The 26,545-nt window shown below is 34.2% G+C and overlaps 1 protein-coding gene across 11 annotated transcripts in view; it reads left to right on the forward strand.

Moving 5' to 3' along the window:
• The window catches only part of YTHDC2 (YTH N6-methyladenosine RNA binding protein C2), an 81,591-nt gene extending 56,952 nt beyond the window's left edge, over nt 1-24,639 (forward strand). For 3 of the 11 annotated variants that reach the window (NM_022828.5, NM_001345975.2, NM_001345976.2), the window contains 7 exons: nt 8,941-9,050; nt 10,772-11,064; nt 13,657-13,834; nt 20,396-20,599; nt 21,351-21,533; nt 22,658-22,745; nt 22,837-24,639. In NM_022828.5, the coding sequence (NP_073739.3) occupies nt 8,941-9,050; nt 10,772-11,064; nt 13,657-13,834; nt 20,396-20,599; nt 21,351-21,533; nt 22,658-22,738 (1,049 nt within the window). In that variant the 3' untranslated portion in view covers nt 22,739-22,745; nt 22,837-24,639. Of the gene's footprint in view, nt 1-8,940; nt 9,051-9,177; nt 10,729-10,771; nt 11,065-13,656; nt 13,835-20,395; nt 20,600-21,350; nt 21,534-22,657 lie in introns of those variants that run through there. The other 8 variants (XM_011543581.2, XM_047417529.1, XM_047417528.1 and 5 more) reach the window with 6 other exon arrangements.

Consider the following 26,545-nt stretch of genomic DNA (forward strand, 5'->3'; position numbering starts at 1 on the left):
AATACTCTTTATTTCTTTATTTTGAGATGGAGTCTCACTTTGCCGCCCAGGTTGGAGTGCAGCGGTGTGATCTCAGCTCACTGCAACCTCCGCCTTCTGGGTTCAAGCAATTCTGCTGCCTCAGCCTCCGGAGTAGCTGGGATTACAGACGTCTGCCACCATACTCCACTAATTTTTTTTGTATTTTTAGTAGATTTGGCATTTCACCATGTTGGCCAGGCAGGTCTCAAACTCCTGACTTCAAGTGATCTACCACCTCGGCCTCCCAATGTGCTGGGATTATAGGCATGAGCCACTGCACCCACCCGACGTGAATACTCTTCATTTTTTTCTCTGGCCTGATTTCCTTGGCCTGAACTTCCAATCCTATGTTGAATAAGAGTGATGAGAGAGGACATCCTTGTACTGTGACAGTTTTCAAGGAGAATGCTTCCTGCTTTTGCCCATTCAGTATGATACTGGCTGTGGGTTTGTCATAAATAGCTCTTATTATTTTGAGATATGTTCCTTTACTACCTAGTTTATTGAGTTTTTAACACGAAGACATGTTGAATTTTATTGAAGGCCTTTTCTGCATCTATTGAGATAATCATTTGGTTTTTGTCTTTAGATCTGTTTATGTGATGAATTATGTTTATTGATTTGCATATGTTGAACCAGCCTTGCATCCCAGGGATGAAGCCAACTTGATTGTGGTGGACAAGCATTTAGATGTGCTGCTGTATTTGGTTTGCCCATATTTTATTGAGAATTTTTGCACTGATATTCATCAGGGATATTGGCCTGAAGTTTTCTTTTTTGTTGTATCTCTGTCAGGCTTTGGTATCAGTATGATGCTGGTCTTACAGTATGAGTTATGGAGGAGTCCCTCCTTTTCAGTTGTTTGGAATAGTTTCAAAAGAAAGGGTATCAGCTCTTCTATGTACTTCTGGTAGAATTCAGCTGTAAATCCATCTGGTTGGGCTTTTTTGGTTGGTAGGCTCTTTATTACTGCCTCAATTTCCAAACTTGTTATTGGTCTATTCAGGGATTCAGCTTCTTTCTGGTTCAGTCTCAGGAGTATGTATGTGTCCAGGAATCTACCTCTTTCTTCTAGATTTTCTAGTTTATTTGCATAGAGGTGTTTATAGTATCCTTTGATGGTAGTTTGTATTCCCATGGGGTCAGTGGTGAGATCCCTTGTATCATTTTTATTGTGTCTATTTGATTCTTCTCTCTTTTCTTCTTTATTAATCTAGCTAGCAGTCTGTTTTATTGATTTTTAAAAAGAACCAGCTTTTTGATTTGCTGATTTTTTTGGAGGGTTTTTCCTGTCTCTATCGCCTTCACTTCTGCTCTGATATTAGTTATTTCATGTCTTCTGCTAGCTTGGGTTTGTTTTCTCTTTGTTCTCTAATTTTTTAAATTGAGATGTTAGGTGGTTAACTTGAAATCTTTCTAGCTTTCTGATGTGTTCATTTAGTGCTATGAATTTCCGTCTTAACACTACTTTAGCTGTGTCCCAGAGATTGTGGTACATTGTCTCTTTGTTCTCATTACTTTCAAATAACTTCTTGATTTCTGCCTTAATTTTGTTATTTACCCAAGAGTCATTCAGGAGCAGGTTGTTCAGTTTCCATGTAGTTGTGTGGTATTGAGTGAATGTCTTAGTCTTGAGTTCTAATTTGATTGTGCTGTGGTCTGATAGACTGTTATGATTTTACTTCTTTTACATTTACTGAGGAGTGTTTTACTTCCAGTTATGTGATCAATTTTAGAATAAATGCCATGTGGCGATGAGAAGAATGTATATTCTCTTGTTTTTGGGTAGAGAGTTCTGTAGATATCTATCAGGTCCACTTGATCCAGAGCTGAGTTCAGGTCCTGAATATCTTTGTTAATTTTCTGTCTTGATGATCTGTCTAATGTTGTCTGTGGGGTGTTAAAGTCTCCCACTATTATTGTATGGGAGTCTAAATCTCTTTGTAGGTCTCTAAGAACTTGTTTAATGAATCTGGGTGCTCCTGTATTAGCTTGCATATATATTTAGGATCATGAGTTCTTTTTGTTGAATTGAGCCCTTTACCACTGTGTAATGCCTTTCTTTGATCTTTATGGTTTAAAGTCTGTTTTATCAGAAACTAGGATTGCAACCACTGCCTTTTTCTGTTTTCCATTTGCTTGGTAAATTTTCCTCCATCCCTTTCTTTTGAGCCTATGTGTGGCTTTGCATGTGAGATGGGTCTTTTGAAGACAGCATACTCGTGGGTCTTGGCTCTTTATCCAGTTTGCCATTCTGTGCCTTTCACTTGGGACATTTACCCCATTTACCTTCAATATTACTTTTATGGTTATGTATTGTTATGTGTGAATTTGATTCTGTCATGATGCTAGCTGGTTATTTTGCAGACTTGTTTATGTGGTTGCTTCATAGTGTTACTGGTTTGTGTACTTCCGTGTGTTTTTGTAGTGGCTGGTAATGGATTTTTCCCTTTCATATTTAGTGCTTCCTTCAGGAGCTCTTGCAAGGCAGGCCTGGTGGTGACATATTCCCTCAGCATTTGCTTGTCTGAAAAGGATCTTATTTCTCCTTCACTTATAAAGCTCAGTTTGGCTGGATATGAAATTCTGGGTTGGAAATTCTTTTCTTTAAGAGTGTTGAATATTGGCCCCCAATCTCTTCTGGCTTGTAGGGTTTCCTCTTAGAGGTCTACTGTTAGTCTGATGGGCTTCCCTTTGTATGTAACCTGGCCTTTCTCTCTGGCTGCCCTTAACATTTTTTCTTTCCTTTAGACCTTGGAGAATCTGATGATTTTTTTGTCTTGGGGTTGATCTTCTCATGGAGTATTATACTAGGGTTCTCTGGATTTCCTGAATTTGAATGTTGGCCTGTCTTGCTAGGTTAGGGAAGTTCTGGATGATATCCTGAAGTATGTTTTCCAGCTTGGTTCTATTCTCTTTTATCTTTCAGCTACCCCAGTCAGTTATAGGTTCAGCCTCTTTATATAATCCCATATTTCTTGGAGGTTTTGTTCATTTCTTTTTTCATTCTTTTTTCTCTATTCTTGTCTGCCTGTTTTATGTCAGAAAGACGGTCTTCAAGCTCTGAGATTCTATTCTCTGCTTGGTCTGTGCTTCTGTTGATACTTGTGATTGCATTGTGAAGTTCTCCTGTTGTGTTTTTCAGCTCCGTTAGGTCGGTTATGTTCTTCTCTAAACTGGCTATTAGCTCCCGTATTGTTTTATCATGATTCTTAGCTTTTTTGCATTGGGTTACAATATGCTTCTTTAGCTCAGCGAAGTTTGTTATTACCCACCTTCTGAAGCCTACTTCTGTCATTTTAGCCATCTCAGCCTCAGCCCAGTTCTGTGCCCTTGCTAGAGAGGTATCACAATCATTTGGAGGAGAAGAGGCACTCTGGCTTTTTGAGTTTTCAGCATCTTTGCATTATTTCTCACCTTTGCGGGCTTATCTACCTTTGATCTTTGAGGATGCTGACCTTTGAATGAGGTTTTTGTGGAGTCTTTTCTGTTGATGTTGTTGTTGTTTTCTGTTTGTTTTTCTTTTAGAGTCAGGCCAGTCTTCCATAGGGCTGCTGCGGTTTGCTGGGGCTCCCCACCAGACCTCAGTTGCCTCAGTTTTTCCTGTACCTGGAGGTATCACCAGTGAAGTCTGCAAAACAGCAAAGATGGAAGCCAGCTCCTTCCTCTGGAAGTTCTGTCCTGGGGGTTATTGGCCTGTTGCTGGCCCACATGCATCTGTAGGAGGTGACTGGAAGCCCCTGTTCTGAGGTCTCACCCAGTCAGGAGGAATGAGATCAGGGACCTGTACAAAGAAGCAGTCTGGCTGCTTTTTGATACAGCAGGTGTGCTGCATTGGTGGGAACCCTTCCTCATCCAGACTGCCTGTATAGCCATCAGGCTGGAGTGGCTGAGTCAACCAAACCACAAAGATAGCAGCCACCCCTCCCCCTGGGAACTCGGCCCCATCTCAGACAGACCAACCCACTGCTGTTGGCTGGCTGGCATCCCAAGCCAGTAGGTCATAATTGGTGAGGTGCCATGGAAGTGGATCCCACAGAATGATGCTGCTTGGCTTCCTGGATTCAGCCCCCTTCCTAGGGATATGTACAAACAGATTTCCTGCCTTGCTAGGGATCCCAGGGCCAGAGTATGTAAAACTCCTACGTTTCTGTGTGTGCCTGAGTGGCTGCTCTGCCAACACTCCACACAGATCTGTGGCATGGGCTCACAAAGGGATCCCCTGATTCACAGGTTGCAAAGATCCATGGGAGAAATGTGGTTTCCCGGGAGGGGTCATATAATCACTCACTGCTTCCCTTGGCTGGGGGTGAGGGTTCCTTTTGCTCTGTGCTGCTCCTGTGTGGGCTGTCGCCTTCACCTACTTTTCTTCATTCTCCATGGGTTGATTTGTATGTATGCCTAGTATGTCCGAATGTGAGAACCTGGATATTTCAGTTGAAGATGCTGAATTCATTGTGCCTTTTCATTCTTCTTTGTGAGTGCCGCAGACTGCAGCTGTTTCTAATAAGCCATCTTGATTGATCCCCTGGCATAACACATTTAAAATGTTCCTTCATAGTTAGACATCTTGATGATTTCAAATTATTTGCTATTTAATGATTCAGCAAATATTTAGTACCTACTATATGTCAGGTACTGTGCTAGACATTGAAGGTATAACAGTGTGTGTCTGTCCTTAGGAATTTACACAGTAGTGAGGGTAGACAGACAGTAAAAAATAAATAATCTGCATGATACTATTAAGGAAATACAAAGAGGATCGCCTTAGGGGTGACCTACTTGAAAGAAAGCCTAGACACGTTTTTCTGAGAAGACTTAAACTGAGACCTACAATATGAGAAGAGCCAGCCACATGAAAAGCAGAAATGTGCTGCAGGTAGAGAAAGAGGGAAAGCACCAAGATTCTGTGCTAGGAAATTATCTAGGAATTGACAGAAAGGCTGTGTGATTGGAGTGCACTGGTCAATGGAAGAGGGCAATGATAAGGTTGAAAGGAAAGCAAGGACTTGTAGGCCATAGAAATGCAAAGAAAAGGAAGTCATTAAAAGGTTTTAAGTAAAGGAATGACATGACGTGGTGTGTTCCAAAAGGTCATTTTGGCTAAGGGGATGAATTACAGGAGTAATTACAAGAATAGAAGAGTGGAGGCAGGTAGGAGGCTTTTGCAGTGGTCTTCTAACAAGATGATGGCTCAGATAGGATAGTGATCGCTGATATGAAGAGAAGTAGATATAAAATTATTTTGAAGGTACTAGTAACTGCTAGATTGAATGTGGGTAGTAAGGGAAAGGGAGGAGTCAATTCTCAGATTTTGGTTATAGTAGCTTGTCACTCATTTGAGATTCAGAAAACGAAGGAGCAAGTCGTGTAGGGGAGAAATTAAGGGTTCTTTTTAGACATGTTAAGTTTGAGATGGCTAAGACACTCTAAGTAAATTTTTTTTTAGGAAGCAGTTGGATATGCATTTTTGGAGCTCAGGGAAGATGTCTGGGCTAGCAATACAAATTTGGAAGTCATCAGCTTGTAAATGATATTTATAGACATGAGAATGGATTTCTTAAAGAGAATATATAAATTTGAGTAGTGGAAGAGTGATTCAGTGTTGGAGGCAAATCTGTTTCAAGAAAGGAGTGGTTAGCTCTATTGAATGTGCTTTGAGAGACTGAGGGCATTAAGTTTGTATGAAGAGAGTAGAAATAGTATGATTGATAATTTATGAGATTATGGGGCATTGCTACATTGACATCTTCATCAGTGTGTCCTTTTGCTTTAATTCATTTAATATTTTCTTCGTGATAAAACTCTTTGAAGTGGGAATTACTTGATAAAAATGTATAGATATTATTCATGGTTCTTTCTCCATACTCAACCATATTAGCACCGTTAAGAGTGAATTTCATGGCAACTATGCCATCATTTGGTGTTGGTTTTAAAGATAAAATATTTAAAGATTCCTTCATTTGCTCTTTTTATTTCTGTCAAAAAGAAATAACTCTCCATGCATTTCTTTATATTGCCCTTTAGTTGAGTTGTTTTTTTCATCTTCTGCCCATTTATTTGGGTACTGATATTTTACTCAAAAATTTGAATGATAGCGTTATAATTTAAAGATGTTATTAATCTTTTTTCTGTCATGTTTAAGTCAATCTATTATTCATTTTGGTGTTAGTATTTTGAGTTCTGAGTTTTGATTGCTGTGTATTTAAACTGAATAATCTTTTCCTATACTATTCACTTTCAAAGCTGAGAAAATTTCATCCCTCCATTGATGTGATAAGTATTGTTTTTGTTTTCTATAATTTGATTTTTAATATTTTTTATAACCATGTTGAGTTGATTCTGGCCTAAAACAAAGATCTAAGTTTTTCCAAGTGCTTTCCCCTCATCTGTACAATTTATTAAACAGTTCTTATATATCCTCCTTTAGAAAGCTTGCATGATTGCATGGTAAATTTGGTATCTTTAACCTTTTTGTATACTCTATTCCTTTACATTTCTGCCTTTATATTGCACCTTTTTATTTAGTATTTTTATTTATTAATAAATTCTAATATCTGGTAGTAGAAGCTCTAGCTGTAACTCTTTACTGCCTTTCTGTTATTGAGCTATTGTTTGATAATCTTACCTATTTTTAAATAATGAATATTCATTAGTCATCTTCTTGTAATCCTTTTGCAAACAACAGTTCTTTTGTGTTTGTTTGTTTGTTTGTTTGTTTGAGACAGAGTCTTGGTCTGTCCCTCAGGCTGAAGTACAGTGGTGCAATTACAGCCTACTGCAATCTCTGTCTCCCAGGCTCAAGTGATCCTCCCACCTCAGTCTCTCGAGTAGCTGGGACTAAAGGCACACACCACCATGCCTGGCTAATGTTCATATTTTTTGTAGAGATGGGGTTTTGCCATGTTGCCCAGGCTGGTCTCAAACTTCTGTGCTCTTACAATCTGCTCACCTCGGTCTCCCAAAGTGTTGGGATTACAGGCGTGAGCCACCGCACCTGGCCTCTTTTGTATATTAATTTAATGTTTCCATCCAGGAAATTTAGTATCTTTTAATTAGCCATACCTTATTTTAAATTTATCTTAAAAAATATATATTTTTGGTAACTTTTATAAAGTTTGGGGATATTTCCTAAGGTGATTCTTAAGATTCTTTTGTTGCTGTTTTTAGTTGTCATGGTGAATGGATTCTCTTTGTGTAATTTTCTTGCTGAACTTTAGAAACATTATTGCAGACATTATATATTTTATGTACCTTGTTACTTTATTAAACTCATTAATCCTTTGGATTTTGTATTTATTGAATTATATTACCTTCAGGTGGTAATACTTCCATTTATTACCAAAATGTATTCCTTTTATTTCTTTCTGAGGATATTAGAAAACTGAATTAAGGTCCATTTTGTCTTACTGAATTTTAAAGGTTCAAATTCTAAAGTTATACTATTGATTATAATGTTAATTTTAATAAAAGTGTCCCTTTTAAATAACGGAATAGTGTTTGTGTGTGTGTATCTGTGTGTGTGTGTGTGTTTTTGTTTTTAAGAGACAGGGTTTCACTCTGTTATTCCGGATGTAGTGCAGTGGTGCAGTAGTCATAGCTCACTGTAACCCTGAACTCCAAGGCTCAAGTGATCCTCCCACCTTAGCCTCCTGAGTAGCTGGGACTATAGGCATGAGTCACCACACCTGGCATAGAAGGTTTTGTTTTGTTTTGTTTTGTTTTGTTTTTTTGTGTATGTGTTAAAAATTTGTTGAATTTACTAAATAGCATTTGAGCATTTGTTCATATAATCAGAAATTATTTAGCCTATTGATGTGGTATATAGATTTTCTTATGGAACTGCTATTTTGTTCTGAGAATAAACCTTCCTTGGACTAAGTGTGATTTATTACATTGCTGGATATTTTTCTAACATTTTATTTAAAACTTATATTTATCTTCATTGGGGAGGCTGACCTGTAGGGTTTGTGTGGTGTGTGCTTGTACATATTCCGGTATGTAGGTTTTAGGTGTTAATCAGGTTTTGGGTTAGGTTTAGATTTGTCTCATTACAGGAATGGTCATTATTTGATTCCATGCAAAATTGAGAGACTTGGTATTCTGGATTTCTTTGTTGATGTTCTTTAAGGATATCTCTGATTTCTTCCTTAAATATATTTGTGTTCTTCTAGTTCCTCTACTTTCAGTTTTAGTAATTTTCGTGTAGAAAATAATTAATTTCTTTGAAGATTTCAAATTTATTATTTATACATACTGTATGTTTTAGCCTATATCAATTTCATATTTTATAATGCATTCTGTATTTTTATAATCTCATTTTCACCTAATTTTGTAGATAGATTTTTGCTTTCTTCTTCCTTTATTAAATTTACAGAGGGTTATCTATTAATATTTTCAAAGAACTGGGTTATAGTTTTAATTACCATTTTGTCTTTCTAATTCATCTTTTTATAATTTTCTATTTTCTTCTACTTTTCTTTGGGTTTTATGTTATTTTTCTTAGATATATTTAGCTGTATACTTTTTCTTTTTAAAACTGACCTGTGACTTTATAAGAGTATTGCTTTGGGCACCTTTCATAGTTTTTGATATGTAGTATAGTCATTCCTTCCTTGAATTATGTTATTTGTTTCTTTTTCATCCAGTTATTAAAGATTGTGCTTCAAATTTTATATTCTTGTCTTTTTTATTTTGTTGCATTGTGATGAGACATTATAGTCTTCAAATGGTCCCTTTTTTTTCCTTTTAAATAAATACTGAGATTTAACATGTGATCTTTTGAGTTTGAAGGACTTCCCACACAAATTGTTGTATGTCAGGAGGGTTTGTGTATATGAAGCGTATTTATTCTTCTTAGTTTTTTGCCATAACGTAAGAAGGTAAAAGTGATTTTTTTTTCATTATGTACTTGGACAGTGGATGGCATTCCCAATGACAGTAGTGATAGTGAAATGGAGGACAAAACTACAGCTAATTTGGCAGCCTTGAAACTTGATGAGTGGCTCCATTTCACACTGGAGCCAGAGGTAAGTTGCTTTCAAGTAGTGTAATAAATTTCTTTCATTCAGTTAGTGTGAATTGATATATAATATGATAAAATTTTTTTCTTTACTATTGAGCCCTTAGTATCAGAGAATATAACTTGTTTTTCAGTTTTCTTGGGGACCTCATTCATTCTCTTCTGTATTGGGGTTTATTCCAACAGAGGACTTGGAAAACCTAGTTGTGGCTCATTATTTAAGCAAGGTAATTGTCTTAGTTTGTTGTTGCTGCTATAGTAATTTATAAAGAACAGAAATTTATTTCTCACAGTTCTGAAGGATCTTAAGTCTGAGATCAAGGTGCTGACGTCGGTTGAGGGCTGCTGGACCCTGCCTCCTATAGAGTGGAGGAATACTGTGTCCTCATATGGCAAAAGGCAGTAGGGCAAGAGGGCATGAACTCCCTCCATCAAGCTCTTTTATAAGGATACCTAATCCCATTCATGAAGCCAGAGCCCTCATGACTCAATCACCCCTCAAAGGCCAACACCTCCCATTACTATTGCATTGGAGGTTAAGTTTCAACATGAAGTTTTGGAGGGGACAAAAACTTCAAACTGTAGCAGTAATCCTTGAGTATTTCTGGATATATAAGAAAGTATTGAGTATTGGGTACACAAGAACTCCCTTTATTTTGTGTAACTGTGTTTTCTGAGAGAAAGATATGATTCCATACTATTTTCTCTTTGCATATACTTCTGAATTGGGGGTTTGAGGGAGGATGAATGTTTCTTTTCAAATTACAAATTTTCATGACAAAGCCTCCCCTTGATTCTATCTCTACTGTCCAAGATCATTCTCTATACATTTTTGGGAGGCGTCAAGCTGTCAATAGTTAACACTGGCTAGGTTTACTATTTTAGCATCCATTCATTCATCACTTCAACCTACTACACTCTCACTTCCATTCCCACCAATTCATCACTTCACTGAAACTGTACTTGCCAAGGTCAACTGTGTCCTTCATGTTGTCAAAGTCAGTCTGCTGTCTGGGATAAATGTGACCTCTATTATTTATCACTATTGTCCATATCCTCCTTTTTGTACTCCTGCCCTTCCCCAGTTTTCTTCCTTACTCCTGCCCCAAATTCTTTGTCACTAGTTACTGTAACATTAATCTTTCTTAATTCTTTCTCTGTAGTCAGTCCTTCTTAGTTGTTTCACAGACCCTGCTGTGTGTGTTTGTGCCTTAAATTTTAAGTTCTCTAGCACTTTGTGTCTTACTCTTATCTTCTTACTCCCTCTATACATTCCCTGGGGACTTTATCTCTATGTGTATATTTTGCAATCATTTAGGAACTGGTGACTTTCAAGTTTAGAGCTCTGTCTTAGACCTTTCTGTGAATCCAGCTGCCTTCAGGACATGATCATTTGGATGTTCTACAGGCACTAAAATAACACTATGAGCTACATATATTTTTATTTACCCTGCTGCTACTTTTCCAGTATTAATCACACTCTGCCACAACTATTGTTTACTGTCTTTCTTATTAGACTATTTAATTTGATTTTGTGTCTTAGTGCCTAAAATATTATAAATAAATTTTATTTCATTCATGCATTAAAAATAATGAAATTAGTAGTAAATTATATGAAATGTGAAATAAGTTTGTTGGAAACAGTTGCAAACTAATGGAAACTAATCAACACATAGGTGTTTTGCATATGTGATATTCATTTGCTTGTATCTATTTGAACTATTACAGGCAGCTAGTTTATTGCTGCAGCTCAGACAGAAGTGGCATAGCTTATTTTTACGCCGAATGAGAGCTCCATCTAAACCTTGGTCTCAAGTTGATGAAGCTACCATAAGAGCAATTATAGCTGTTTTAAGCACTGAAGAACAGTCTGCAGGTTTACAACAACCATCTGGGATTGGCCAAAGGCCAAGGCCTATGTCTTCAGAAGAGCTTCCTTTGGCCTCATCTTGGAGGTCAAATAATAGTAGGAAAAGTTCAGCAGATACTGAATTTTCTGATGAGTGTACTACTGCAGAAAGGTAAATTTATGACATTTTACCAAAATGGGTCACTTTTTATTCAGGAAAATGAATTATTTATCTTAGAATCATGTGCTTTTATAATATTTAAAAATTACTTTTTTATAATCTAAGATCCATGAAAAGATAGCAATAAAGTGGAAAGAGTTTTCTACTTGTTCAACTTAATTCTTCTAAGTATTAAGGTAATATGAATTTTAAACTATTGATATCTGTGAGTTATTTAATAAGGCAACTCTTTGTCAGGAAAAGGTCAAAATATCTAATTTCTAGAATTGGGTCTCTCAAAAATATATAGACATTTTAAAATTATGTATTTTACTTGATATATGTGAAGTAACATTTTACCTAGATACCCTGGGCCATACTGGCTATGGCCATTTAAAAGAACAACCTCCTTATAAGCCTTATCTAGATATCAATACTGCTGATTAGCATTCCTATAGAAAAGTACTTCACTCAGTGACACATTGAATGCCAGTTCTTGGTGTGAGGGATCTAGAAGTGTACAAAACAGGTAAGATCTCCTCCAGAGGATATACATTTGATTGAGGGGAGGCATATAATAAGTAAACAAATTTACTGTCATATGACAAGATTTCTGTTATAATTTAGCCAAATTCTTCTTTTCTTCTTTTGCAATTAAATGTGGTGGTGTTTTTGTTTATTTTATGAATATTAATGAGATACCGCATACTGAATTATTTATGTAAAAAATATATTTTAGTAATATGATAGTGGTTACAATAAATCATTGGCCATGATTCAGAAGTGTTTCTGGTTATAAAAACATTTGTTAGAATCAAATTTAAGTTATTTTATAATCAGGTTTTCACCTTGTTAAAATTCATAACAAAAAACATTCTTGGTTATGAGGCTAGTTTTGGCAATACTGGTAGAAAAGTCTCTGTAGTAAGAATTTGATTTTATAGTTAAACTGAAAATAGAAACAATGGAAACATAAAAGATACGTAATGCTTACTGTTTTTCAAGGATCAGGTGGGGTTTTTAGTACCTTTTTTGATCAGATTTTTGCATATTTGAATGAAATATAAAGGCTTAATATCATTTAAGCCTTTAAAGAGGAATAAAACATTGGTTTCCATGTTCTTCAGATATTACATTTTAGTAATAATTTAACCAGTTTCCAAGGAAAGCTTGTAAAATGTGTGCTGAACCTTTCTTTCTGGTCTAGACCCTGCTGAGAAAAAGGGGAAGACTAAGAAGTAATTTTTTTACTTAGATACACCGTACTTTTTGAAAATATTGTTCTAGAATTTTCTTGAGCATTAGTTATTTAGGATGTAGGAATATATTTCCATAGGAGTTATTCTGTGGTAGAGTTATTCCTAAACCAGCCTATGAAAAGTTCTGTTAGATTCAAGAAACGTGACATACTAATATATAATGCATGAGTGTTTCTTGTATGCTGATTCAAAGGAATCAATAATTTGAGACAACTGAGGAAATGATAATTTTATTGGGATTGGTAACCACTTTGGTTATGTAAGGACAATGCACTCATTTTAACAGATGCATATTTAAATATGGAAGGATAAAATGACATGATGTGTGGGATTTACTTTTAAATATGTAAGCCAAAACAGAAAGGAAGCAGGAAAGAAAAAACAAAATAATGTTAGATAAATCAACTAGGTGAAATGTTCAAGGAACTAGGTCAGTGGTACTGTGAGATGTCCTACATTCTGAATTTGTCTCTGTTTTTTTCCTGGCACTATTTATTTCTATACCCTATGTATCTTTTATTTTTTATTTATTTTTATATTTTATTTTTGAGACAGTCTCACTGTGTCGCCCAGGCTGGAGTGCAGTGGCACGATCTCAGCTCACTGCAACCTCTGCCTCCTGGGTTCAAGCAATTTCCTGCCTCAGTCTCCTGAGTAGCTGGAATTACAGGTGCACGCCACCACGCCCGGCTAATTTTTGTATTTTTAGTAGAGATGGGGTTTCACCATGTTAGTCAGGCTGGTCTCGAACCCCTGACCTCGTAATCTGCCCGCCTCGGCTTCCCAAAGTGCTGGGATTACAGGCGTGAGCCACTGCACCCGGACTCCATACCCTATGTATCTTATATAAGCTGGTGGTTAGCTCTCAGGGTTTGATTTGATCCAGTGTTTTAACAAGAATATTTTATAGGTGGTGTTGTGAACTTTATATTGCAATACATCAGGAAGTACTTAATGTCTGTCCCAGAAAGACCCATACTTTAAGAAAGATTATGAAATTCCTGACTGCGATGTTTGTGGCATTTATTCATAGAATTTTAGAATATAAAAATCTTGGAGTTTAGATATAATCCTTTTATTTTATTTAACAGATAAGGAAATTAAAGTTCCAATAAGTTACGAGGCTTGCTCAGGATCTCATACCTAGTTAGTTGTAAATTTAGAACTGCCATAGACATCTATATTTCCTGACCTTAGTATTTTTAAATAATATTCCATAAATCATAAGATCATTGGGACTTTGGATTGAAATGGCATCTGCTTTGTATTATAAACTTATACATAACTGATCTTTGTATGACGAACTTATATATAACTGATCTTTGCTTCCTCCTTCTTGCTCAAGAGTACTGATGAAATCTCCATCTCCAGCATTACACCCACCTCAGAAGTACAAAGATAGAGGAATTTTACATCCTAAACGAGGTACTGAGGACCGATCAGATCAGTCTTCTCTGAAATCTACAGACAGCAGTAGTTACCCAAGTCCTTGTGCTAGTCCTTCTCCTCCATCCTCAGGAAAGGTAAGAGTATCTGAAAGAAAATGTAGTAAGGAACAGATTTGTAGCACATGTAATCCTAGGTAAATAAAATTGTAAAACAATTAGAGTACTTTTCTAATTGTGGCCTCTTCTAGATGTAAGTTGAAGCTAGCAAACTTGATACAGTTTGAGTAAATTTTAAAGTTTTTCCTGCATGCCAAATATTTCTAGTTATTACCATCTTGGGGTATTTTAGAATGCTTTAAAACTATAGATCATTCACTACTGGCATGTAGGTAGGCTGTTTATTATTTCTTTCCTATTTCTTTCGAATCCTTTTTTTTTTTTTTTTTTTTTGAGGTGGGGTCCCACTCTTTTACCCAGGCTGGAGTGCTGTGGTACAATCATATCTACTGCAGCCTTGAACTCCTGGGCTCAAGTGATCTTCACACTTCAGCTTTTGAGTAGCTGGGACCACAGGTGCATGCCACCATGCCCAGCTGATTAAAGAAAAATTCTTTTTTTATAGATGGGGATCTCCCTTTGTTGCCTCGGTTGGCCTCAAACTCCTGGGCTCAAGTGATCTTCCCATCTCAGCCTCCGAGTGGCAGGGATTACAGGTGTGAGCCACCATGCCCAGCCCTTTAGAAACTTTTTTGCTAAAATAAATAACAAAAAGATTAATTTAACTTTGGTTTATAATTTCAGAATCGAAAACAGTGGTTTCTTTCTATTGTTAATTGGTTTCTACAGTGGTTATATTAAAAAAAAAACAAGATGGGATAGGGTTAGGAAGGTAGGAGATGTTGATAAGAAATTGAAAACTATCTTTAAAAAAACTTGTAATAAGAATAATTTTAAATGTTCATGATGTGATGACTTTACTGTTTTAGTAGCTAAGTATTTGATTAGGGGTTATTTAGCTGCATATTGTATTTTGGCGAATGTGCCTGTTGAAATACTCTTTGTTAAATAAGAGGAAAATAAATGTTTTTGTAGATTTGCATTCTTAGGTTTTGAAGTTTTTTGGTTTATTTATACACCTTTATTAAGGTGTAACTTACAATAAAATTCACCAGTTTAAACTGTATAATTTAATGAATTTTGGCAAATGTATACAATCATGTAACTATACCACAATCATCTACACATTTCCATCACCCCTACTCCCTGGTAACCCACTGTTCTGCTCTTTGTCCCTTGAGTTTTGCCTTTTCTAGAATTTCCTGTAAATGGAATCATATATATGTAACGTTTTGTGTCTGGCTTATTTCACTTAATAGAATCCTTTTGAAATTTCTATTAAGTGAAATAAGCCAGACACAAAATGCTACATACATAAGATTCAGTGTATCAACAATCTATCCATATTGTTGAGTATATTATTAGTTTATCTAATTACTGAGTAGTATTCCATTTCTAGATAGACTATGGTTGGTTTTTCCATTCATCAGTTGATGGACATTTGGGTTGTTTGCACTTTTTGGCTATTATGAATAAAGTTGCTAACATTGTACTAACTGGTACTAACATTCAAGTAAAATCTTTGTGTCTAAATATGTTTTCTATTATTTGGCAAATCCCTAGGATTAGTATTGTTTGAGTTGTTTGATAAATGTATATTTAGCTTTACAAGAAACTGTCCAACTGTTTTCCAAAATGACAGCACTATTTTGCATTTCCTTTAACAATCTTAAGAGTTCCATTTGCTCCATATTCTTGACAATATTTGGCATTTTAGCTTTTGTAATTTTAGCCATTCCAGTTGGGTATGTGGTAATAGGCCATTATAGTTTTAATTTGTATTTTCCCAGTTACTAATGATGTTGAGCATCTTTTCATGTGCTTATTAGCCATTGTGTATCATCTTTGTGAAATGTCTGTTCAAATCTTAGTTCACTTTTTGTTGTTGGTTTTTGTTGATTTGTCATCTTTCACTGAGTTGTAAGAGTTTTCTGTATATTCTGGGTACAAGGCTTAATTATTATATGTTTTGCATATTTTTTCTAACAGTATGTGGCTTGTCTTTCCATTTCCTTAACAGTGCCTTTTGAAGAGCAAATGTTTTTAATTTTGATGGAGTCCATTTCATCAGCTTTTTCTATTATGATTAGTATTTTTTTGTGTACTAAGAAATTTTGTGTACCAAACCCAAGATCATAATTTTCTCCTATGTTTTTAGAAGTTTTATAGTTGGCAATCTTACATTTTAGATATATGATTTATTTTAAGTTAATTTTCGTTTATAGTATGGGTGAGTCAAGAATTACTCGTTGGCTTTTGCTTATACAATTGTTCCAGTACCGTTTGTTAAAACCATTTGTTTTTTTCCATTGAGTTACACTGACACCTTTGTCAAAAATCAACTGGCCATAAATATGTGGTCTACTTATTGGACTCTTCAGTTTCATTAATATCTCTCTCTCTCTCTCTCTCTATATATATATATAATATATAAATATATATTATGTATTCATATATAATATATAAATATATATTATGTATTCATATATAATATATAAATATATATTATGTATTCATATATAATATATAAATATATATTATGTATTCATATATAATATATAAATATATATTATGTATTCATATATAATATATAAATATATATTATGTATTCATATATAATATATAAATATATATTATGTATTCATATATAATATATAAATATATATTATGTATTCATATATAATATATAAATATATATTATGTATTCATATATAATATATAAATATATATTATGTATTCATATATAATATATAAATATATATTATGTATTCATATATAATATATAAATATATATTATGTATTCATATATAATATATAAATATATATTATGTATTCATATATAATATATAAATATATATTATGTATTCATATATAATATATAAATATATATTATGTATTCATATATAATATATAAATATATATTATGTATTCATATATAATATATAAATATATATTATGTATTCATATATAATATATAAATATATATTATGTATTCATATATAATATATAAATATATATTATGTATTCATATAATATATATAATGTATTTATATGTAATATATATTATGTATTTATATATTAATATATTGTACATACATAATATATAGTATATTTATATATTAATATAATTAATATTTATGACATATTATTATATATATATTTGCCAGTGGTACACTGACATTATTTTAGTAGCTTTATAGTAAGTCTTGAAATCAGTTAATCCTTCAATCAATTGTCCTTCAACTTTGTTTATCTTCTTCAATATTATTTTGGCTGTTCCAGGTCCTTTGTACTTTCATATAAACTTTAAAGTCAGCTTATCAGTTTCTGCAGAAAAATTTTTTGGTATTTTGAGTGGAATTGCATTGAATCTATAGATCAATTTAAAGAAAATCAACAATTAACACTTCTTAGTCTTCTAATCCATAAGCATAGTATATCTGTTCATTATTTGGATAGTCTTTAATTTCTCTCAACAATGTTTTATAAATTTCAGAGTACAAGTATTACAATTTTTTGTTAAATTTCTCCCTAAGTATTTAATGTTTTTGATACTGTTCTTTAGAATTTTAATTGCAGGTATTCATTGTTAGTATATACAAATACATTTGATATTTGTATATCTGCCCTGAATCCTATGACCTTATTTCATTTATTAATTCTATTAGCTTTTTATGCCTTCTGATAATAAAGATAATTTTACTCTTTTCCTTTTCAATCTGATTGCTGTTTATTTCTTTTTTACCTTATCTCTCTGGCCAGAGCCTCCAGCAAAATATTGTTCAGTGTTGAGAGCCACATATCTTTCCCTTGATCTTAGGGGGAAAGCATTTTTTGTCTGTTAGTATGGTGAATTTCATTGCTTGATTTTCTTATGTTTATACCCCACTTGGTCATGGTGTTATTTTTATATATTGCTGGATATAATTTTGTTAAATGAGGGATCTTTGTTCATGAGGGGTATTATTCTGTAGTTCTTTTTTCTTATGTATCTTTGTATGGTTTTGATGTCAGAGTAATGCCGGCCTCATAAGATTAGTTGGGAAGTGTTTGTCCCACTTCAGTATTTTAGAAGAGATGTGTAGAATTGGTATTATTTCTTCCTTGAATATTTGATAGAATTCACTTATGAAGCCATTTATTTATTTATTTATTTATTTATTTATATTATTTTTTTTTGAGACAGAGTCTCACTCTGCCACCCAGGCTGGAGTGCAGTGGCGCGATCTCGGCTCACTACAAGCTCAGCCTCCTGGGTTCACGCCATTTTCCTTCCTCAGCCTCCTGAGTAGCTGGGATTACAGGCATGTGCCACCATGCCTGGCTAAGTTTTTGTATTTTTCAGTAGAGACAGGGTTTCACCATGTTGGCCAGGCTGGTCTCGAACTCCTGATCTCAAGTGATCTGCTCACCTCTGCCTCCCAAAGTGCTGGGATTGCACGCGTGAGCCACCATGCCTGGCCAACAGTGTTCTTTTATTTTACACTTTACTCCTTTATGTTATATTGTTTTCATACATTTTGTTTTTATATAAATGCTATAATGTATTGTTTTTACTTTACATAGTCAGTTACCTTTATGAAGATTTCAAAGTCAGAAAAATATATTTTTACATTTATTATTACTAATCTTGTGCTCATTATACTTTTATGTTAATACGAATGTCCATTTTGTATTATTTACTTCTGCCTGAAGAACCTCCTTTCTGGGACTCTGGATACACAGATGTAAGACCATCTCATATGGTTCCACAGGTCACCGATGTTCTCTTCATTTTTTTCAGTCATTTTTCTGTCTTCATTTCAGATAGTTCTACTGTTTTGTCTGTACGTTCACTGATGTTTTTATTTAGTGTCTAATCTGCTGTTCTTTCCTTCTAATGTGTTTTTAAAGGCAGTATTTTCATCTCTAGAAGTTCAAGTCTTTTAAAAATTAAAAAAAAAAAAAATATATATATATATATATATATATGTATATATATCTTCTGGCCCGGCGTGGTTTATGTCTGTAATCCCAGTGGTTTAGGAGGCCAGGTTGGGATGATAGCTTGAGGCTAGGAGTTTGAGAACAACCTGGGCAACATAGGAAGACCCTATCATCTCTACAAAAGAATAAAAAAATTAGTTGGGCATGGTGATGGGCCACCTGTATTCCTAGCTACTGGGGAGGCTGAGGCAGGAGGATCACATGAACCCAGGAATTTGATTTTATAGTGAGCTGTGATTGTGCCACTGCATTCCAGCCTGTATGACAGAGTGAGACCCTGTCCCCCTAAAAAAAGTTAATAATATCTTCCATTTCTCCTCTCATTATGTTCAAGTTTTCCTCTACCTTCTTGGACATAATGAATGTATTTATAACAGATGCTTTAACATTCTTGTCTCCTAATTACATCAACTCTGTCATCTCTGAGACTGTTTCTGTTTATTACTTTTGGCATTTTTTTCTTTTACTTTTCTTTCTGTTTTGTCTTCTTGTTATCCAGTGCTTTGTCTGTGGAGAAAATGCAAGTACAAATTTTATATTCCATATGCACATGAGAAACGGGTTCAGATTTGTAAAGAGCTAGTAAAAATCTACTTGTAAATGTGTCTGATTGCTCATTGCAATCAGAGTCTCAAGATGACAACAGTATTTAACTTCTCTTCAGCCTTAATTATGTAAATAACAACCTTTGTATATTCTTTGTGTTTCTTATAATTTTGTTGGGCAGCTAGGTTTTTGTATATTCCTTTCAATAGCGTTAGACTTTGTTGTGATGCACAGTTTAGTTGCAATCAGTTGAATCCTTTTGAAGTTTGCTTTTAAGTAATGTTAGGAATGGGCCAGAGCAGTCTTTATTCTGTTATTAATTTAGTTCCAATACTAAGGTATGGCCCTTCTGTGGGCCAGTACCATATATATTACAGGTTCTATCTGTTCTGGCTGAAGATAACACGAAATATTCCCAGCCATGAGTGAGCTCTAGGAATTGTTTGGTCTACTTGTTTTCCTTTGGATCTTTCCCTAGCCTTGGGTTATTTATCTTTTTTCTCACTCATGTTCAGGTCAGCACTTAGCCAAAAACTTGTGGGAACCCCTCTGTGTTTCCTTTGGAGCTCTCTTTATGTGCAGCTCCTTTCTGTCTAAGATAGTACATTGCCATGCACAGTAGCCACTTCGGTCTCTGAACTCCAGTGTCTTTCTGCACAACTTAATGAGACCACTGGACTCTGTTTTTCTTTGTCCTCTGAAAACTGCCTCCAGGCAGTAAGCTGGAGAAGTATTTGTTTTGTTTTCTGATTTTGAAAGTTTATTAAAACAATTTCTGAAAGTATATTTGAGGTATAAACCAAAGTTGGTACTCCAGGAGCCTTTGTTGATAAGGGATTTTGAATGCTCTGAAAATGAGTACTTGTTTTTGGCTAACTTTATTTTGGTTGAGTCTTGTGTAGGTTTCAGACATGATAGAGCTATTTGCATTTGTTGAATATATGATAAAATATTTTGGCTTATATGTTTATGAAGATGTTATTTAATGGAGCCTCTTGGTTTTGAAAGGTCAGGTTACCTTTCAAGAACTTATGTTTTCTTTTATAGGGCTCAAAATCTCCTTCGCCAAGACCAAACATGCCTGTTCGATACTTCATAATGAAGAGTAGCAATTTGAGAAACCTTGAAATTTCTCAACAGAAGGGTATCTGGTCTACAACTCCTAGTAATGAACGGAAGCTAAATCGAGCCTTTTGGGAAAGCAGCATAGTTTACTTGGTATTTTCTGTTCAAGGATCTGGACATTTCCAGGTGAGCCACCCTGAATCAGTAAAATGGGGTTGTTCTGGCTATAGGTTAAATCATAGAGATTTTTAGAAAAACAACTGGCTTTTCATTGCATCAGAATGCAAGAATGCCTTTTGCTTGACTGAGAATAAGGGATATATTGCATCTCTTTAGAGGATGATAGAACTGGAATCCTCTTTGTTTTTGCCTTGTCTTACCAGAGTCTTTCCAGGTAAACTATGTTTCCTTCTGAAGACAACTTTAGATTTACTAATTCTCAAGTGGATTCAAAGTAATGAGAAGCTTGACCTTTTGGTAAAATATTTATTTAAATAGGCCAAGGAAGTTAGTATTGACAATCAGTAAACTAAGTATGTTTCTTAACCCATCACCCATCTTGACTTAATGTATACCTGAATTTATAAAATAATACATTTATTATTTGATGTTTATTATAATTTTTGGAAATGAAAGCTTAGAGGTTAGCTTGTATCCATTTATCATGGAATAAAAATATGGACTTTGCTATTTTATTTAGAAATCATTATTGATATTTGAAATTGTTAGGAGGCTAGAACTGTTTTTTTCTAAAATTTGCTAAGAGAGCTTTTAATGAAAAATTTAGTAGCTTATTTTTTGTTTTTGTTAGGTATCTGTTATTTCAATATTATATCTTAATCTTAAAATTTTAAAAACTCAGCCTTCTCAGATAAATTAAATTTAGACATGCTAATCTCCTCCTCACCTCTATTCCTTCCTCCCATTTTACCTACAGGGATTTTCTAGGATGTCTTCTGAGATTGGAAGGGAAAAGAGTCAGGACTGGGGCTCTGCTGGACTAGGAGGAGTATTTAAGGTGGAGTGGATACGAAAAGAAAGCCTTCCCTTTCAATTTGCACACCATTTACTCAATCCATGGAATGACAACAAGAAAGTGCAGATAAGCAGGGATGGGCAGGTATACAATGGCATTTTTTTTTTTATTTACTTTTGTTTCTGTTTGTTTTCTGTTATCCAGTGCTTTAATTGAGGAGAAAATGTAAGAGTACAAATTTTATATTCCATATGCACATGGGAAACAGGGGTTCAGGTTTGTAAAAAGATAGTAAAAACCTACTTGTAAATGTGTCTGATTGCTCCTTGCAGTCAGAGTCTCAAGATGACAATAGTATTTAACTTCTCTTTGGCTTTAATTATGTAAAGTAAATAACCTTTTTATATTCTAGTGGCTTGTTTATTTCTATTGTGTTTTGCTTTGTCTTCATGATGCTATTTACATGCATTTTAAGCTAGTTAAGATGATGGAAATTAATGTATATTGACCAAATACTATGCTAGCTGCTTTAGAAGATATAATTTATTTCTTATGATTAAATTATTAGTCCAATTTTATATAGGAGAAAATAGACTCAAAGATTAGTTTTGCCTAAGGTCACACAGCTAATAATTTATCTGAACCAGTATGACTCGTTTCAAATCACCATGTAAAAAGTGTTTGGGTTCTTCTTAAGTGCTTATCATAGGTTATCATTCCACAGGAGTACTATGAAGTGGGATTCTTTTCAATTGTGTGAGAATAATTTCATTTTTATTCTATAATAATGATTTTGAAGAAATATGTTAGCTAGAAATCTTAGAAGAAAAAATATTTTAATAATTTTCAAGATAAGAAGATATAGTTGCTTAAGAGAGTTCCTTGGAAAAAAACCCAACATCGAATATGCTAGGTTTCACAGTAAACCTTTGGAAGTTCCAGCTGAGTGCTTTTGCTGAATCTCTATGAAAAACAAAATCCATTATTTTTAGGTAGAAACAGTTCCAGGACTCCATGGGAATCTGTTGCCATTTTGTCACAAAAGTTGAGAGATTTTGCAGATTAACTGTAATCTTAAATCTGGAAGTCAACTCCATAAACCTTAAAGCAAAGAATTAGAACAATTCATACCAGATGATTTTAGCATACGCTGGTAGGAAAATGAAATTTAAAGTGATTTTCTTACATTTTTATCAGTGTAGGTTTTGGTCATTAAAAATTTTCACTCCAGTTCTTTTTATGTTTATTTTGACTTCTGATTTATCTAGGAACTAGAACCTCTGGTTGGTGAACAGTTGCTCCAGTTATGGGAACGTCTTCCCTTGGGAGAAAAAAACACAACTGATTGACACTCAGGTTATACCATCTTGACTTTGAGTATTGGCAGTATTTGTGATCATTAGGAACCTTTCAGATTATTTATCTTTTTTTTTCCCCTTTCTTCTAGAACTCTTAGCTGTGGAAGAACATCATGCCTATTTATAACCACTGAATGCACTGACTTTCAAAAACTGAGGTGGGGTGTGTGTTACGAATGGGCTTTTTAACACTTTTAGAGTGTTGCTTTAGAACTACCATCTTCATATACAGGAGAAAGGAAGCATTTAAATTTTTATAGTGATTATAGAGAATGATTATATGATGTTTGTAATGAATAAAATAGTAGTTTCATTATTTGGCACAATAGCAGTTTATTTTAAACAAACAATTTGAAGTTAAACATTTCATTTTTAAAAACACTGAATTACAGTTCTTATTGATGACTTTTTAATGCAGAGTAAGTTGTTTAAGAAAGGCCTGAATATATCAGAACATCTGAGCACCATTTTAGAAGAGTCAACTCTTAAGATTATCATTAGAAAACAAATACGTCAACACCTATGAAAAGAAGCGGGGAAAACAACAACAAGGACAACAACAAAAAACCAGTGAAATTCTACAAGTGTCCCTTTTAAAAATAGTGTGTGCTAACTAAGGGCTATTCATTCTGCCATTTTTAACTTGAGACACATTTAAGAATAAAGTTGGATGTTCTTTTTCTGTGATTATGAAATGCAATAAAATCTGAATAAAGGGCAAAGTTTCTTCCTGATCAGATTAGATTAAGTGCTTAGTTTTATTCCTAATTCTGCCCCTTTTAACCTGATGTGTACCTTACTCTTTCCTCCCTCTCTTCCTCCCTTCCTCCTCTCCCCGCTCCTTTCCTGCATTTCTCCCTCCCTCCTTCCCTCGTCACATCTCTTATATGAGCACAGTAATTATGACCTTTTTGTTTTGGCTACAACTTGATTGAAACAAGTTCAAAATTTAAACAAGTTCATACAAGTTTTTAAAAATTCTCAACTGGTAGCTTGCTTGCTGTGCGTCTTCCAAACTAAAGCCTGCAAGCGCCACAATTCTAAGTGCCGCCTTCCATTTTTTTTCAGTATGTTTTCACTGGCTTATGTTTTCAGATATGATTTTCCTTTTTCGCATATATGGTTTAATAAATGGGGGATAATTTTTTTTTTGTAAATCCGTGCTTGTGCCAAGTCTCATATTTCTTTGCCATCTCAGAATTATCTTTTTACCACCACTGTTTATAAAATTTCCTTAGAGACTTTTTGAAGGGAAAATAGAGCAACAGGGAAAAATGAAAGAAATGTCTTGGTTACTGAGCTCTAAATAGACAGGTTTGATGGCACTTCTCATGATACATTTTAGTTATTCTTATAAAAGCAAACAGGCAAACATGAGTGTAAATTAAAGACAAAAAGAAAACTCTGGTTTTATATTTGAGAACACGTGAAAAATCATGGGTCAACATAAAATCTTGAGAACCTTCTACTTTCTCTGGGAAAGCATTATATAGTGGTGCATTAGTTTAGAAAGTCAGCTATGATTTTGCCTATAGTTCTAGTTATTAGCTTTGGGGTTTTCTTGTACTTTAAGACATACCTGTAAATTGAACCTATTTGAATTATATTCCACTGTATGTGTATTATGGCTCTTTTCCTATTAGAGCAACTTGTGTTTCCCTGATAATGTGTACATTTTTTAGGCATGTACTTAATAGTTCACAATGTTCTAAATTTGGAAGGACTTAAAAAAAAAACTTGTTTAAATTTCCATCTGTTTTGTAATATCTAGCTCTATATGTAAATGATGGGTTTGTTGGTATTTAAAATGAATACAACTTGAATGTAATTAAAGTGCTGTTTTTTGGAAGCGATAAACTTTAAATATACTTATTAAAATGAAATTCTATTAAGTTTTTCAGATCTTATTTCTTATACTTTATAATAAGACTAAGTTAACAATGATCAACAATATCCCCTGAGATAATAATGAATTTCAAACACCTTGAAGAATACTAAATTGATATAGAAGGTGATGGTTTGTATTGAAACTCCCTTCCCTGTAAATTGCCTTATTTCAATAGGAGATGGCAAAAATCTCTTTTGTTTAGTATAAAATATTTTAAATATTAATAAAATATACAAAAATAGGAAACTTAAACTATATTAAAACATTTCTAAATATTATGAATAGTACCTTGTACTTAAATGTTAGTATTTTTCTAACTTTATTCACAAAGTTCTTGTCTAAACATCCAGGAGAAAGTTAGTTATAGTATAATATCTTTTTTTTTAATAGTACAATATCTTGGTAGCTAACACTACTTTTTCTGAACAATTTAGTTCTTTTCTGTCAGCTAATGTTTCCTTTCTTTCAGCTAATGAAGCCATCCATTCAGAAAAGGTGGAGCAGCTGCTGTTTTACCCAGACATTTCTTTGTAGAAAATGGTAGTAGCATCTTAGATACTTGGCTTCCATCAGTCCTTTCATCTCCCAGAGAATTTTAATATTTGCTTTCACTAATTCTCTGGAAGCAGTTTGTTGTCTTTTTTTTTTTTTTTTTTAAAGGCAAGGTCTCGCTCTGTCACCCAGGCTGTAGTGCTGTGGTGAGATCACAGCTCACTACAGCCTCAGTCTCCTGGGCTCAACCAATCCTCCCACCTCAGCCTCCCAAGTAGCTGGGACATGCCACCATACCATGCCTGGCTAAATTTTTTTTTTTTTTTTTTTTTTTAAGGAGACAAGGTCTCGCAATATTACCCAGACTGGTCTCAAACTCCTGGGCTCAAGTGATTCTCTGGCCTCAGCCTCCCAAAGTGCTGGGTTTACACGCGTGAGCCACTGTGCTTGGCCACATTGTCCTTTATTTATAATAAATATTTAATATCACAGTGACATACTAAGATATAACAGGTACATTTCTTGCTGTCCAGGAGGAGCTTCTTTTGAGTAATAATTTTATTTAAAGTTGTGAGTAACAATTTTATTTAAAATTGTAACAATTTTCACTTTTATAGTACAATTGTTATAGACAAGGGTTAAGGTATTTAAGAGGAGGATAATCATTGAGGTCTTCATGGTAGAGCTGCATTTGAGCATGCCTTTCAGAAGAGAATTTTTAAATGGATTGGGACAAAGTTAAAACTAGTGAAGAGCTGGAAAAGGACAAGGTGTATTTGGGAATATATAATTCACAGTAGCTACCTGGTAAGGTTTTGTGTAAGAGTTTTACAATGTGAAATATAGAGTGTTTAAGAAAAGCTAAGAAGTGATAATTGAATCAAGTGGAACTTGAGCTTTAATATGCAGATGGGGTGGCTGTTAAAAATACTTCCTTGGCCTAGGCACAGGGTCTGATCAATAGGTCATTAGTTTTGTAATAGGCCTCAAGAATCTTCATGTTTAGTACATCAACTACTGTCAATTCAAATGGACAATACTGAAACAGATTGATAAAGAAACTGTGTTTTAAAGTTCATGTGGCATCAACACAAAATATTCACATTTTGTATTTTATGCAATAAAAGGTGATTGGAGTACCAAAAGTAGAGATATATAATAAAGGATTTACCTTGTTGCAAGATACAATGTGTTATATCAAGAAATAGCTTTAGATTTAAGGTTACAATACCTGCATTTGAGGCCAGCCTCCAACACTAGATGTGAAAATAGCAAATCACTTAACTTTTCTGACTTCTAATTTCCATGTTTGAAAAGTGAAAATAGTATTTATCTATCTTAGAAGACAATTAGAAGTGTCAAATGAGAGTGCTTGGAAAGGTATGAATGCTATACAAATATAAACAGTATTATCTGCC

This window comes from Homo sapiens, chromosome 5 (genome assembly GCF_000001405.40).
Source record: "Homo sapiens chromosome 5, GRCh38.p14 Primary Assembly".
NCBI lineage: Eukaryota > Metazoa > Chordata > Mammalia > Primates > Hominidae > Homo > Homo sapiens.